General features: G+C 36.5%; 1 long non-coding RNA gene across 1 annotated transcript in view; it reads left to right on the top strand.

Moving 5' to 3' along the window:
• Positions 1–9,972, top strand: part of MIR137HG (MIR137 host gene) — a 61,694-nt gene extending 51,722 nt beyond the window's left edge. Inside the window, exons 4-5 of the long non-coding RNA NR_046105.1 lie at positions 2,972–3,056; positions 8,403–9,972. This is a non-coding gene — a long non-coding RNA (MIR137 host gene). The remainder of the gene's footprint in view (positions 1–2,971; positions 3,057–8,402) is intronic.
• The last annotated feature ends 4,696 nt before the right edge of the window (positions 9,973–14,668 follow it).

Here is a 14,668-nt window from a genome sequence, read left to right as displayed (position 1 = left end):
TACCTAACTAAACTAACAAATTATCTCTGTCTTACTGTTTTGTGTTGGGCCTATACTCTTTTGTTTATATCAGTTATTTGATTTTTGGACTGGCATAAGATTTGATTTGAAATTCTCTTTTGAAGTTATATATTGACTAAAAGCCATAAATATAAAATATAAAATAAATGTAAATATAAATATAAAAAATAAATATAAATATAAATACTGTATTAGATATTTTTCATTCTAAATGAATGAGCAAATTTATTAATAGGTTCTTAAATTAATGAGTTTGCTAATAGATAATATTTTTCTGAGCGCTTGCGCACTCCCAGAATATTTTTTTAAACAGAGAAAATGACCAATTATAAGCTTGAAAACCTGTCAGGAAAAAAATAGTAACCTAGAGGAAAAATATGTTAAGGTAAAAAGAGAATAAATCAATCACTGAGGCTTCCAGAAATGACAGAATTATCCAGTAATCCTTTTCTAATATTTATCCATTTGTTCAACAGTATTGTCTTCCAATGTTCTCTGAAGGATAATTATGTAAATACTTAGCATTCTCAAAATAATGATAAAAAGGTATTCTGCCCCTCAGAAAAAATTAACAATTTAACAAGGGAAAGAATATTAAAGAAAAGAATAGTCGTGCCAGATCTAAGGGGAGAATGAACATAAAAGAAACAAGTAACTTAATTAACTAAGATGTCAGAAGGTAAATCAGTGAAAAACATAATTGTACTTTAATCTATAAATAAGACAATGGCCCAAGATAATTTGTACTATCTCCTCATGATCTCTGCTATCATTTACATTGAAAATAGTGCCATATGAAATGTTGTTATTTGTATATGAAGATGGTGCTATGACTCATCAGTAACAAATCTACAGAATTGCTTTGTTTTAGGAGTAGGAAAAGGCTGGCAATAAATTCATTCACACTCTCAGCTGGTCCTCTTGTGAGCAATGGTGTACATTGGCAAGTTGAAGTTACAGCTGCAGTCAGTCAGTGAGCCTAAAACAAAACAAAACAAAAAACCCAGTGAGTGAAAAACCAATTAGATTGTAATTGGTGAATGGGGGAGAGTGAATCTCAGGCCTGATATATCGACACCAATCTCTGACAAACTAATCTAAGCTATCCATGTGATATCCATGAATCTATATTTAATCAATTTTTAACATCAGATGCTTTTATAATTTAATGAATTTGAGAAAACGTCCCCAATTCCTGCTTAATGTACTGACTCCAGCATGTGCATTACAAATAGAATGTGAGACATCACTCAGTACTATAACTATGAGAAAATATGTAAAAATGCGTGGTCAGTCTCAACTCTTCATGGAAAAACACAATCCACGTAATATTTTGAGTGGTCTCTTCACATGGACCAGCCCAATTGCTGGCAGGTGAGTTTGATTTCCCCACAAGATAAGTAAGTTGAATAGAAATCATTAAGCTTTTTGACTCAATGCCTCTGGTGGAATGTCGTGAAAAGATGTTTTTTAGTGTTTAATGCTTTTAAATGACGAAAGCATGACCTAGCATAGGCTTTGTAGTCAATCATGAAGAGGAACTATCAATGATATTGAAGTTATGCTGTGTCAGGTACTATACCACTCCTCATGTTGGACTCAGTTCTAACAGTAGAACTATGTGGTAGTATTTTCTTTATTTTCTAGATAACAAATTAAATCTTGGAGTAAAAATTTGTCCGGCGTCAAAGATGGCAAAGATTGAATTTGGTTGCAAAGACTTACTCTTAAGTCCATGATCTTTTTTATTTAAAATAAAGATAACAAAAATATAACCAAACAGCTTGGCTAGAATTTATGTAATTTGTATTATTTATATTAATAAATGGGTATAAATACTTGACCTAAAAACTCAAGGGGCAGAACATGGATTTTTATATGACCATGATTTTTGACCAAGAGCTTTATATATTCAGAACATATTGTCAGAAATATTCTATTTTCTCAGTTATTTTAGCTTTATCTTAAAGACTTTACTAAACTGGCAGAATTCATGGGTAGTTACAGCTTTCCAGTCATGCTAAGGTTTTAAGAGATGGTTATAACCCAGAAAGTAAACATCTGTTGGGTTAAAAATTAAAGTATTTCTTTCATTAATTTATCCAAGACTTTTTAAATGCGATTCTCAGCGTGGCTTATCATGATCCCTATATTAAAGATAGTCCAATATCTATGAAGTTAAACTACATACTCCAAGGCCAATCAAAGCACTTCTAATTTACTATTCTTTATGGGGATTCTCTGTTTAACTTGGGAATGTTATTTTAAAAAGTGTGCGAGTACAGCTGCATACATACATAGATACTTTCAATCACTGATATGCATGCATGTAAATGAATCATGGTGAAACAATCATTTCAAAAGATAACGAAAGCTTGCCTTAAAGTCTTTTCTTCCACATTCCCATGGCCTACTAAAAATTCTATCTTATTGACCATGTTGTATTGTCAATGCTTTCTTGCCCAACCAGAGTATGAGCTTTATATGGGCAGAGACTATATATTTTTTCTCAGTGATATCAGTGCATAACACAGTTCTGGCACTTACTGATTACTTATTGAATAAATAATTGAATGGTGTAAAGTAAAATATCAAATTACATAATAGCATCATAGGTTATAATTCACGTTCGTATCCATGAGTGGATCTGATTTTTTCCTGCATATTCTTGAATGCTTGAAAATGCATCTTTGGTTCATCCAGGCACAAATTTTATAGAAGAGAGTTCTATTTAATCATGTATAGATGAAATAGAATTATTACTCAAAAGCAACAGGAGCCACCTATAGTGCCCATGACAGAAGCTGAAAGGAGTTGACTTTCCTTGAATTCTAAGCAATTGTTGCATGCTGGTCCCTGGACAATAATATAAAGCTGGTAAAGTTTGTATTTGAGATGACCTTCAACCTCCATTTTTTGAACTTGTTTGACCTTTTGCCTCTTTTCCCAGGCATCCAAAGCCTCTGGGATGTGTTCTGACTGTAAAAACTCTGATGTTGTGAAAAAAGCTTACGCTTTGCCTCCACTCAAACCAGGTAACTGGCTTGGATGTGAGTTAATTTCTCTACACTTAGTCCTCTCGGTGTAAGTTTAGAATAATAGTGATCTTCCCCTGAAAGGAATGGTGTAGGCCTATATGAAAGGATGTAAGTGAGAATGCTCAATAAACTGTGCAACCTTAAACAGATATTTGATGTCACTCAAAAGAGCCTTAAAATGAGGGAACTTCTAAGGCCCTCTCTCCACTGATGTATTTATGACCCAAATAACTCCATTTACTCCCTTCTATAAATTCCCGTCTCTTGTTGCAATTGTTGGGACAGAAAATAATCTGACTGTTCCCTAAATTTATTCACCTTAAGAAAAAAATGCCTGATAAGGCCAGGTGTGTTGGCTGATGCCTGTAATCCCAGCAAAGGCAGGCTGATGGCCTGAGCTCAGGAGTTTGAGTTCAGCCTGGGCAATGTGGTGAAACCCTGTCTCTACAAAAAACTACAAACATTAGCAGGGCATGGTGTTGCACGCCTGTAGTCCCAGCTACTTGGGATGCTGAGGTGGGAGGATCGCTTAAACCTGGGAGGCAGAGGTTGCAGTGAACAGAGATCACGCCACTTCTCTCTAGCCCAGGCAACAGAAAGAGGCCCCATCTCAGAAAAAAAAAGAAAAGAAAAGAAAAGAAAAGAAAAAATGCCTTATGAACATAAAACCACCTTAGTTTGTTGAGATTTTTTTAAGAGAGAATTGTGAATCTAATTATTCTGCAGCCTGTTGGGGACAAGTCCTTCTTTTGTCTACTCTGTTCATCACTATCCTAAGAAACACAAGAGTCAGAAAGGTGGTATCCCAGAAACAAAAGCCTATTCATCTCGATGTTAAGGCTCTGATACATAAAGGATGGTAATTTAATTTCCTGAAATTTGTTAGTCTGAAAGTTTAATTAAGAGAAACCAAGACACTAAAATAGTTTTGTATCAAATCTGTAGAATAGTGGGACTTAACTACTAGATGACTTATGTTTCCATACTGATTGTTAAAATGATATTTATGAAAGAAACCAAGCGTAACCATTTTAACAATTCTAGGCATACTCTAAGAGGTAAAATTAAAATTAGGGAAAATGAGACCATTTATAATGGGCCATTATGACTCTGAATAACGATGATTATTGGTTCTGCTTAATAAAACTGTCATCTAACACAAAATAGATATTAAGCTAAATTACATTACATTATCATTCTATCATCCCACAGAATTAAATGCAAATCTTAAAAAATAGATCCACAAGGAAACAGACCCAATATTAACCTTTTCTACCTATTTCCAATTAGCTTTAATTAGTAAAAGAACCCATGTGAAGAAGTTAAAAAAGTATATGCTGCAAAATGCATATAATTTACTAGAGCAAATGACTAAATATTTATTACTTGTGTATTTTTAAAACAAGGTAGCTTTGTTTTAGAACAGGAGGATTCCAAGACAGCATCAGAACTTCTCAAACTTCCCTCCTATTATTTAACTTTTGCTCCTTCATTCCATAGCTTTTCCTTCCTGTCAGTCTCTTCCTGTCCCATCTGCTGACCAAGTCATGTAGAGGAATCTTTGCTTTACCTTTCTATCATTGCCATTTCTAAATCTGATTGCACTCAGACAGTATTTCTTTCAAGGTACTTCTTTGGCTCTCAGAATCAAAATTTATAGTTTATGTGACTTCACATGTTGTGAAAATACGGATATTTAGATCTCAGACCTAATTAATCAGAAACTCTATGGTGGGACCTATGGATCTACACTTTAGTGTTCTCCGGAGGTGATTTTTAATATCTCTGGTTTGAGAATTACTGTACTTGAACTACTGACAATTACTAAAGACAACATATTAATATTAAGGTATATCGTTGTGAAGTTTAACATTTACTTGGTTTATATTTAATCCATTACTGTAAACATTTATTGAGAACATACTATTTTCCAGGCTGTTTACTGGGTAGTAGGGCTACCTAGATAATGAAACATCCTTTCTCTCGTGCATCTTACAGTCTTATCAGAGGCATTTGCTCTTTCGAATCACTTATAGCATTATCTCTTCAGAACACTATAGAATCCTGTGTTCCCTGCTCCCACTAGTGTAAGCCAAAAAGAGATTTCAGTCAAATAAAATCACAAATAATTGAAATAAAACAATAATAGAGAGTATGTAGACTAGATGTAGATGAAGAGAAAAATAAGTGAATAGGTAGATCAAAGCATACAAAAATGCAACAGAGAGAGAAAAAGAAAAGAAAAATATTAAAGGAAATTTAAAAGGCATGGAAAAAAATATCAAGAAGCCCTGGCATATGTCTAATAATTCCAGTAACAAATAATATTATTGATAGGGAAGAGGAAATATTTGAAATGATGGCTGAAACCTTTCTTGAAAACTGAAGAAAGCAATGAGTAATTATTTTGAAAATTTAAATAGACAAAAACCCCCAAATTATACCTAGTCACTTTGTAGTGGAATTGCAGAACATCAAGGACAAAGAGAGAATTTTGAAATCAAATAGAGATAAAAGGTAATTTACAAAGGAACAATCAGGTGGATAGAAGACCTCATCAGCATTAGGAAAGACCAAAAGAGAATGAAGGAGTAACTTCAATGTGCTGACAAGATAAATCTCAGTGAAAAGTTAAACATTTAAGAGAGAAGGTGGAATAAAGAAGTTTAAAGATGCACAATGACACAGAATTTCCTACTTTCACTTGAAAAAATACTAAAGGACATATTTCATTAAGAAATAAATAAATCAAGAAAGAAGGAATATGATTCAGGAAGAAACAGCAAATAAATCGGTAAAAAATATTTTTAAATCTAAGTAAATTTTGGGATATAAATGACATTTGTACTACAAACACTATTTGTTATGGCTTAAGTAAAAACTACAATTAAGTTACAGATAACCTAAATGTTTATAAAAATAGATTGTCAACAGGCAATTTTATTTTTAACAAACTAATTTGGGGAGATATCAAGAGGCACTTGAATTAACGTTAAATATGTAATCAAAATCCGTTTATTTTCCCTTTATATTATCACTTTAATGGCAACTTAAAACTCAGCTGACATGAAAATGGGTCTTATTTCCCCTAGAAGAGGTTTACCAATTTCCCCTAAAAGGATGTTTTCTATTATTTTAAGCAGCAATTTCGTTGTCTAGTTTTAGGTTGTCAAACTTGTCAAACATTTAATTGTTGAATGATTAGCTCTTCACAAACAATGAAGGCCCCATCTTAAAAGCTTTTTTGTTTATCAGAGACATCCTAACCTTGTATGCCTCGTTTTCCAAGTTATAGATATTAGCAGTATTATAATGGTGTTAACAAAGAGAAGAGGCTATATGTGACAGAAAACCTGTTTATTATGTAATTTAGGAGTTGGATTGGTGTGCTGCAGATTAATAACTCTCATTTATGTTGTAGCTATACTTAAAAAACATCATGGAGTCTTTCCATTTTTTCACTGCTTAGATTGATGGGTTTTTCCCTGAAAACAAAATAAAACAAAAAGAAAAACAACTTTTGAATAACATGGCATCTGGTAAAGTCAAGGAAGTAAATTTGCTTTTTTCTTCCACTTCGAGAGAGTTGGCATAGTTTGAAAGAATATTTTCAAGAAACAAGGAAATAAGTATGAACTTTCATATTTAATGAGAAATTGAAAGGTGAGTTTATAATAACCTCAGTTCAACATTTTATCAAAAGTGTTGGCATTAGTAGGCTGGGCGCGGTGGCTCACGCCTGTAATCCCAGCACTTTGGGAGGCTGAGGAGGGTGGATCACGAGGTCAGGAGATCGAGACCATCCTGGCTAACACAGTGAAACCCCGTCTCTACTAAAAATACAAAAAATTAGCTGGGCGTGGTGGTGGGCACCTGTAGTCCCAGCTACTCGGGAGGCTGAGGTAGGAGAATGGCGTGAACCCGGGAGGCGGAGCTTGCAGTGAGCCAAAATCACACCACTGCACTCCAGCCTGGGCAACAGAGCAAGACTCCATCTCAAAAAAATAAAAAATAAAAAAAAGTGTTGGCATTAGTAATATCAATATATTGTCAACATCTGCTAAAAGTCATCAAACACCTGGTCAGTTCATGCAATCAGGAAAAAAAAAAAAGTTGTTTGATTCACTTAAAAAAATCAAATCATTTAAGTGTGACTAACGCTTTTTGAATCTTTTGGGGGTATGTGAAAATAAACTGATGAATGGTTTAAAAAATGTTTATGTTAATTGCTATAGAAGTATAAATTTTAGTCGTTTTTAAGAATTTTTGTTCTTACTACATTTCCATGCAATTAAGAAAATTATCATATTTCTTTTTTTAACTTTTATTTTAAGTTCAGGGGTACAAGTACAGGTTTGTTTTGCATAGGTAAACTTGTTTCATGAGGGCTTGTTGTACAGATTATTTCATCACCCAGGTATTAAGTCGAGTACCCATGAGTTATTTTTCCTGATCCTCTGCCTCCTCCCACCCTCCACCCTCTTAAAGGCCCCAGTGTGTGTTCCTCTCTACGTGTCCATGTGTTCTCAGCATTTAGCTCCCACTTATAAGAGAGAACATGTGGCTTTTGGTTTTCTGTTCCTGAGTTTGTTTGCTAAGGATAATAGCCTCCAGTTCCATCCATGTCCCTGCAAAGGACATGATCATGTTCTTTTCTATGCTGACCCACAATTAACCAGTGCATTCTTCCCTTGGATTCCCTAAGCTTGTGTGCCTGATGAGCTGCTCTCCAGTTATGCCACCATGATTTCCATTCCTGAGGGAAGGCTGTGACGAAGAGCCAGGAAAATAAGAGCACCCCTCCTACTCTCATAGTGCAGTGGTTGAGGATCCTTTTTTCTATACAATTTTAAAACTGGAAATACACAAAATACGCCAACATAATTAAAAATAAAACTACCATGAAATAGCACAAATATTCTGCACATGAAATGTTAAGAACTAAAATTTAAAAATCTGCTTTTAGTAGGACTACATAAAACTGAAGAAAACCAGTCAATACAGAATTGGGCCAATGTACAATTATTCTTGAAGTAATCCAAACACATTAAGTTCTCTAATATATCTAAAATAATCTATGACAAAGGAAATAATCTGAAGGAAAGAAAGAAAAGATAATTGTGGGAAATTCTTATGTGTTATACTTTTATGTGTAGATAAGCTGAATGGAAAAAGAATTATTGTAAAATATTGAGAAAAGATTAGAAGATATGAAATAATTAAGAAAAAGAGAATAGGTAAAAGGAGCCCATGGTGATGAAAAGGCACTGCTCATTTTCTTTTTAAAAAATTTCCTCAAATTATTAAATCTAGGCATTCCCAACTTTTTTTTTTTTTTTTTAGATGGTGTTTCGCTCTTATTGCCCAGGCTGGAGTGCAATGACGTGATCTTGACTCACCACAGCCTCTGCATCCAGGATTCAAGCTATTCCCCTGCCTCAGCCTCCCAAAATGCTGGGATTATAGGCGTGAGCCACCACGCCTGGCCAGCATTCCCAATTTTTAAAAATGAATGATTGGCACAAATCTTAGAAAGCCATTTTCTGTAGATTTGAAAGCAATGCTATTTACATTGTTACTACTTTCTTGTTAAATCTTGCATGTCTGCAGTATGTGTTGTAATAGAAACCTAAGATTATGATCTGCTGTATTCATATTTGAAGAAGAAAATTTCAGACTGTATAATCAACTAGTTGATGATTCATATTTGCTTGTACAAAGTTAAAAGTGTAACTTGCCAGAAAAGAAGGAAGCCTGAAAAGTATTCTAAATACATTAATAAGAAGGGTTCTACATGAATTAATTTTTGTTTTGCCATCTACAGAGTTCCTGCCACATTCTAGGCACTTCATATTTGCTGCAACATTTATTCAGACATTGACAGAACAAGAGAAACGAAGTTAAATTTTAAGTACCATGGATTGAAATTAAATTTAGGGAAGATATTTTATAGTATGAATTGTTCATCTGTATTTAACAAGGTATTCATTTATTTTGGGCGATTTAAGGAAGGTCCTTTCTGGAAACAGGATTACAAACATATGGACCTATTTAGTCAATTTCAACCTTGTGATTTTGAATCTGACAGGTTCTCAGCTGCTTTTATTAAATAACGGATTTTCTTAATAATTACTGTACTCAAACTTAGCAAAAAGCTCTATTTATAGCCCAGTTTTTTAGTCACACACTATTGTGTCTTGTCAAATTGAAACCATATACTACATTCTTTACTTATTAAGATGGTCTTTCTTTGTAATAATTTTGGAGTAAATAGTTTACTTATCTAAACCTCTGATTTCTGATTTAACAGATTTTTGAAGCATTTATTTTCCTTACCATACATAAAAATTGTCAGTTGAGGACAAGGAAGGATTAACCTGGACTACGGTGAATAATTGTTCAGGTTGCTTACTGTGTAACTCCAGAGGAGCATTCACATGGTACAATTTGCAGATTTAAGTATTTATTACAACCATTTTCTGGCAGATAACAGTGGAACACCCTGTTCTGTTAAAATTAGTTTATTATGACAAATTGCCTACAGATGGACATAAACTGTCTTGAGGAAGGGCACCTGCTTTGGACTGAATCGTGTCCCCCCAAAATCAAATGTTGAAGCCTAATCTCTAATATGATGGTATTTGGAGATGGGGCCTTTGGGAGATAACTAGGTTTAGATGAGGTCAAGAGTGTGGGGCCTTCCTGATTAGTACCCTGAAAAGAGAAAACACCAGAGAGCTTGCCCTCTCTCCCTCTTACCCCACAGGCACACAAAGAGGTCATGTGAGTACACAGTGAGATAACAACCACCTATGAGAAAACAGAAGAGGCTTCAGAGTGAAATCTACTTTGCTGGTACTGTAATCTTGGACATTATTCTCTAGAACTGTGAGATAATAAATTTATCTTATTTAAGCCACCCAGTCTATGGTATTTTGTTATGGCACCCTGAACTAAGACAAATTTTGGTACCAAGAAATGGGGGTGCTACTGTAACTAATACCTAAACATGGGGAAATGACTTTGGAATTGGATAGTGAGTAGAGGCTCAAGAATTTTCAGGTGCATCCTAAACATATGAACAAACAGTAAAGGTGATTCTGGTGAGACCTCAGATGGAATTGAGGAATATGTTATTGGAAACTGGAAGGACGGTGATCCTTGTTACAAAGTGGCAAAAAACTTAGGTGAACTGTATTCTAGTGTTTTGAGGAAGGTAGAACTTGTGAGTGATGAAATTAAATATTTGACATTTCTAAGCAATATGATGAAGGAGCAGCTGGTTTCCTCCTGACCATTTCTGCTGAAATGAAAAAAAAAAAGATAAGTTGAAGAAGAAATTGTTCAGCAAAAAGGAACCAGAACTTGAAGATTTGGGAAATTCTCAGCTTATCCACATTATTAAAAAATGACAAAAACTTGCTCTGAAAATAACACTAGGAGTGTGACTGGACAACCATTTGATAAGAGTTTATGAGATTATGTGAGCAGAAATTCTGCCAGTTTGAACTGAAGGGGATGAAGATGGGACAAAAAGAATGAAGGCTTCGAGACTTCTTGGGTTAGACATGATGGGCTGATTTGCTTATTTGGCTGTGAACCTGCACTATTTTTCAAGGAGAGGAAAAAATGGCCCCAAAGGCAATTCAGAGATAGCCAGAGCCACAGCCTCAGTTTCAACAGGCTGGACAGTCTCCACTCAGCTCTTTGGAGGCAGAACCACTCAGAGGACTCAAGCCTGTCAGAGCTAGGGGGTGGGGCTGGCAATCCCACAGGGTGGAAAGGATGGGGCTATCCTGCAAATCCATGTGGGTGATGTCTTGGGTGGAATGCTCTGGACTGAACTGTCCTCCCATCCCCTGCTCAGATTCTGTGTTGAAGCCCTTACCTCCAGTGTTACGGTATTTGGAGATGGGGTCTTTGTAAGATAATTGGGTTTAGATGAGATCATGAGAGTGAGGCCCTCAGGATTAGTGCCCTTATAAGAAACCTCGGAAAGCTTGCGAGTTCTCTCTCTCTCTCTTTCTTTTTCTTTCTCTCTCTCTCTCCCCGTGTGTGTGTGTGTGTGTGTGTGTGCGCGCGCACACGCGCGCGTCATGTGGAAACACAGCACAAAGGCAGCCTCTGCAAGCCAGGAAGAGGGCTCACGAGAACCCAATCAAGCTGGCACCCCAATCTCAAACTTCCACCCTCCGAAACTGTGAGAAAATAAATTTCTGTTGTTTATGCTACCTAGTCTACAGTATTTTGTGCTGAGCTGACTAATACAGTTCCTTTCCAGATTGTACAAAAATGCCACATGAATCAGAGCTCACCAGCTCTAGTAGGTATGATTGTTCAGTGTTCAGCATATAGGAAACACTGGGGAAATGCTCATATGTTCAATGAAGAAAATATGCGTAACAAGTGATTTAACAATAATGTGATAATTCATTGGATTACTCTAAGAAATATGAGTTTTTTTACGGCAAACTCTCCACAACACACTTGATAATAGATTGAGAGGAAATGGCTGTGTAAATAATTAAGCTGAGAAAATAAGTTACATTTGCTCTCACAGATCAGTGGTCAAAGAGAGACAAAATGCTGAGGGTGGGGTGGGGTGGACAGGACATTGAGGATCAAAAGCACTTGGGATCAGCTTCAAACTGAAGGTAATAACTGGAGTCTTAGACACGGGTTTTTCCAGGAAAACAAAATGAGAGAAGTCAGATCAAGCAGAGGAAGTTGTATGAACAATCACTAAACTTCCTGACTTATTCTCCAAGTTTCTTATTCCTAAACTACAAATATCTTGATTGCATTCTGAGAACATGCTGTGCCTCCCTCTGTCTTAGCAGTCACTACTTTATATTAAAATATATTTTGATGCTTTCCTTTCCCATAGATTCTCCAAGTCATAAACAATACCCCCAGCACCTAGCACAGAGCCTGGTACCATGTTGTTTGTCAAATTAGACTGAGCTCTGATATTGCCTTTTTCACCAGGTGGTCCATACTCTCTTCTACTTTCCTTTAATACACTGGCGTATGTTTTGTAAGCCCTCGCCACATTGTATTCAATTGTTTGTTAATGTGTTTGTCTTCCTAATTAGACTGTGAAATTCTTGAAGGCAGAGATTAGGTCCTGTTCATCTTTGCATGATCAGTGTCTTGCCTAGCATATAGTAGGGTTCCCTTGGGGTTCCTTTTTTTATGAAATGAACTAACATTCAGTATTTCAAAATTACTGGAATTTAGTGTGCTTTAGGTAACGGTGAGCAGAAGGAAGATGGATAAGATATAAGGCTGGGAAAATATGGGGAAAATCCATGTCTGAGGTTAATTGATTAAAAAGGAGGAGCCTTGAGTGACTTCTGTGCTTGGTGTGATGGTGATATTCACCAAGGTAAGTTATACTAGAATAATAAGTTAGGGAGATAATAGTGAGTTGAGACATTTATGAAATATGCAGGTGTCTAGTAGAGTTGGATAAATAGGCCTGGAGCTTGAGAAATTCAGAACAAAGATAGTGATTTGGACATCATGAGAGGCAGTATACAGTAATAATAATAATAAATAGACTGGACGTGGTGGCTCACGCCTGTAATCCCAGCACTTTGAGAGGCCGAGGCAGGTGGATTGCCTGAGCTCAGGAGTTCAAGACAAGCCTGGGAAACATTGCAAAACCCATTCTCTACGAAAAATACAAAAAATTAGCCAGGCATGGTGGCATGCGCCTGTGGTCCCAGCTACTTGGGAGGCTGAAGTGGGAGAATCGCTTGAGCCTGGGAGGTTGAGGCTGCAGTGAGCTCACATCATGCCACTGCACTCCAGCCTGGGTGACAGAGGGAGATCCTATCTCAAAAAAACAAAACAAAACAAAATAATAATAATAATAATAACTATTAAAGCACTTTCTAAGTGCTGGGTACTAATTGCTCAGCACATGCTAGTACCCTTAATACTCACATAAACAAACTTTTGGAGATGTGCATAATTATCCCCATTTTACAAACTAGAAACCAAGCCACAGACCTCCTAGTTTACCTTAGGTCGTGCAGATCTCAAACCAAGCAGGATTCCCACCCAGTGACTCTGCTTCTAAAATTCGTACTCAGTATACACCAGTATAGGGACTGGGACTGTCAGTCTTTCCTTTGCTTTGTGACTTGATTATATTACCCACCACTTCTGTGCCTCAGTTTCCTCATTTGCAAACTGAGGGAAATAATACTATCTATCTCAATACAGTGCTTGGTACATGTTAGCACTCAATCAACCTTAAATTATTATTTCCATTAGCCTATTTATGAATGTTGAAATCATGGAGGAAAAGGAGATTGGGTGAATGTGGGGAATAAGAAAACCAGAGGGTCCTTGATCCTTTAAGCAGTGGTTGTCTAGAAGGAAATCTAGTTTGGAGGCTGTGTGATCATCCCAAGGGGAAAAGTGAGGCTTCCAGACCTGGGGCCTGGGCAGAATCTGGGATGCCTGGTCCAGTGCAGAGGGCTGAGTATCAGTCATCCACAGCAAGCACTGCGGTGCTAGAATGAAAAACTGAGAAGAAATATGCCAAATCAAAAGCCTAGTCAGCCATCCAAGTGTAAGGTCCATCTAAAGGAACTGAGCAAAGAAATATGAAAAAAAATCAGCTTAGACAGTATGAGACAAAGCTTGAAGTTTCTTAAGCAGGTGGTAGGGACTTCATAGGATGCCATGAAACTGAGAGTTGTCCAGAAGACAGCTCTTAAAGACAGTGGTCTTGCACAAGCTGAGTTTGAAGAATAATCAAAGTGGTAGGAGGGAATAAGGATGAGGCAGGATCTTAAAAACCCAGGGAGGAAAAAAATGTGAAGGATGTGGGGAGATGGGAGATTTGGTAAGATTCCATTTCTTTCCAGCACCCACAACTTATTAATCCCTACAACAGTTTAATGAGGTGGGCAGTCCATTTATTCCCGTTTTTATAGTTTAGGAAAATTAGACAACAATAATAACTGGCTTTGGGTTACACAGCTGGTGAGCATCAGAGCTGGGATTTTAACCCAGGCTGCCTGGCTCTCACGCCCATGCTTGCAATCATCTATTGCATAGTCCTTATTCCTGGCTGATTTCCTCTTTGTCGTGGCTCACTTTACTCCATCCCTTGTATGTTTCTAAAGACAGAGAACATGGCGTGAACCCGGAAGGCGAAGCTTGCAGTGAGCAAAGATCGCGCGCGCCACTGCACTCCAGCCTGGGCGACTGAGCGAGACTCCATCTCAAAAAAAAAAAAAAAAAAAAAAAAAGAGAGAGAGAGAGAGAGAACTTGTTTATAGCATTTTCCATCTCCATCTACCTACTGTACACTCAGCAAGCCTGGGCGGGGGTAGGAGAGTGGTACACGTTTAGATTTTAAGGAACTGCCCTCTCAAATATTTACGTATAGTCTGAGTCCTTTCCATTCCCAGAAGGCTTCAGATTTTTTGAAACAGGTTTCAGAAAAAAAAAAACAAAAAAACAAAAAACTAAATACTTTCTTCTTTCACTTCAGGAACCTATGAAGGAAAAAGAAATCAGTTAATATTCCAAAATGAATTAATGGATTGCTGAGTCAACAAATTTGATATTAAAACCATTCAATTACT

Source organism: Homo sapiens, chromosome 1, assembly GCF_000001405.40.
Source record: "Homo sapiens chromosome 1, GRCh38.p14 Primary Assembly".
NCBI lineage: Eukaryota > Metazoa > Chordata > Mammalia > Primates > Hominidae > Homo > Homo sapiens.
Note: the sequence above shows the minus strand (reverse complement) of the source record. Positions and strands in the feature narration are given on the sequence as shown.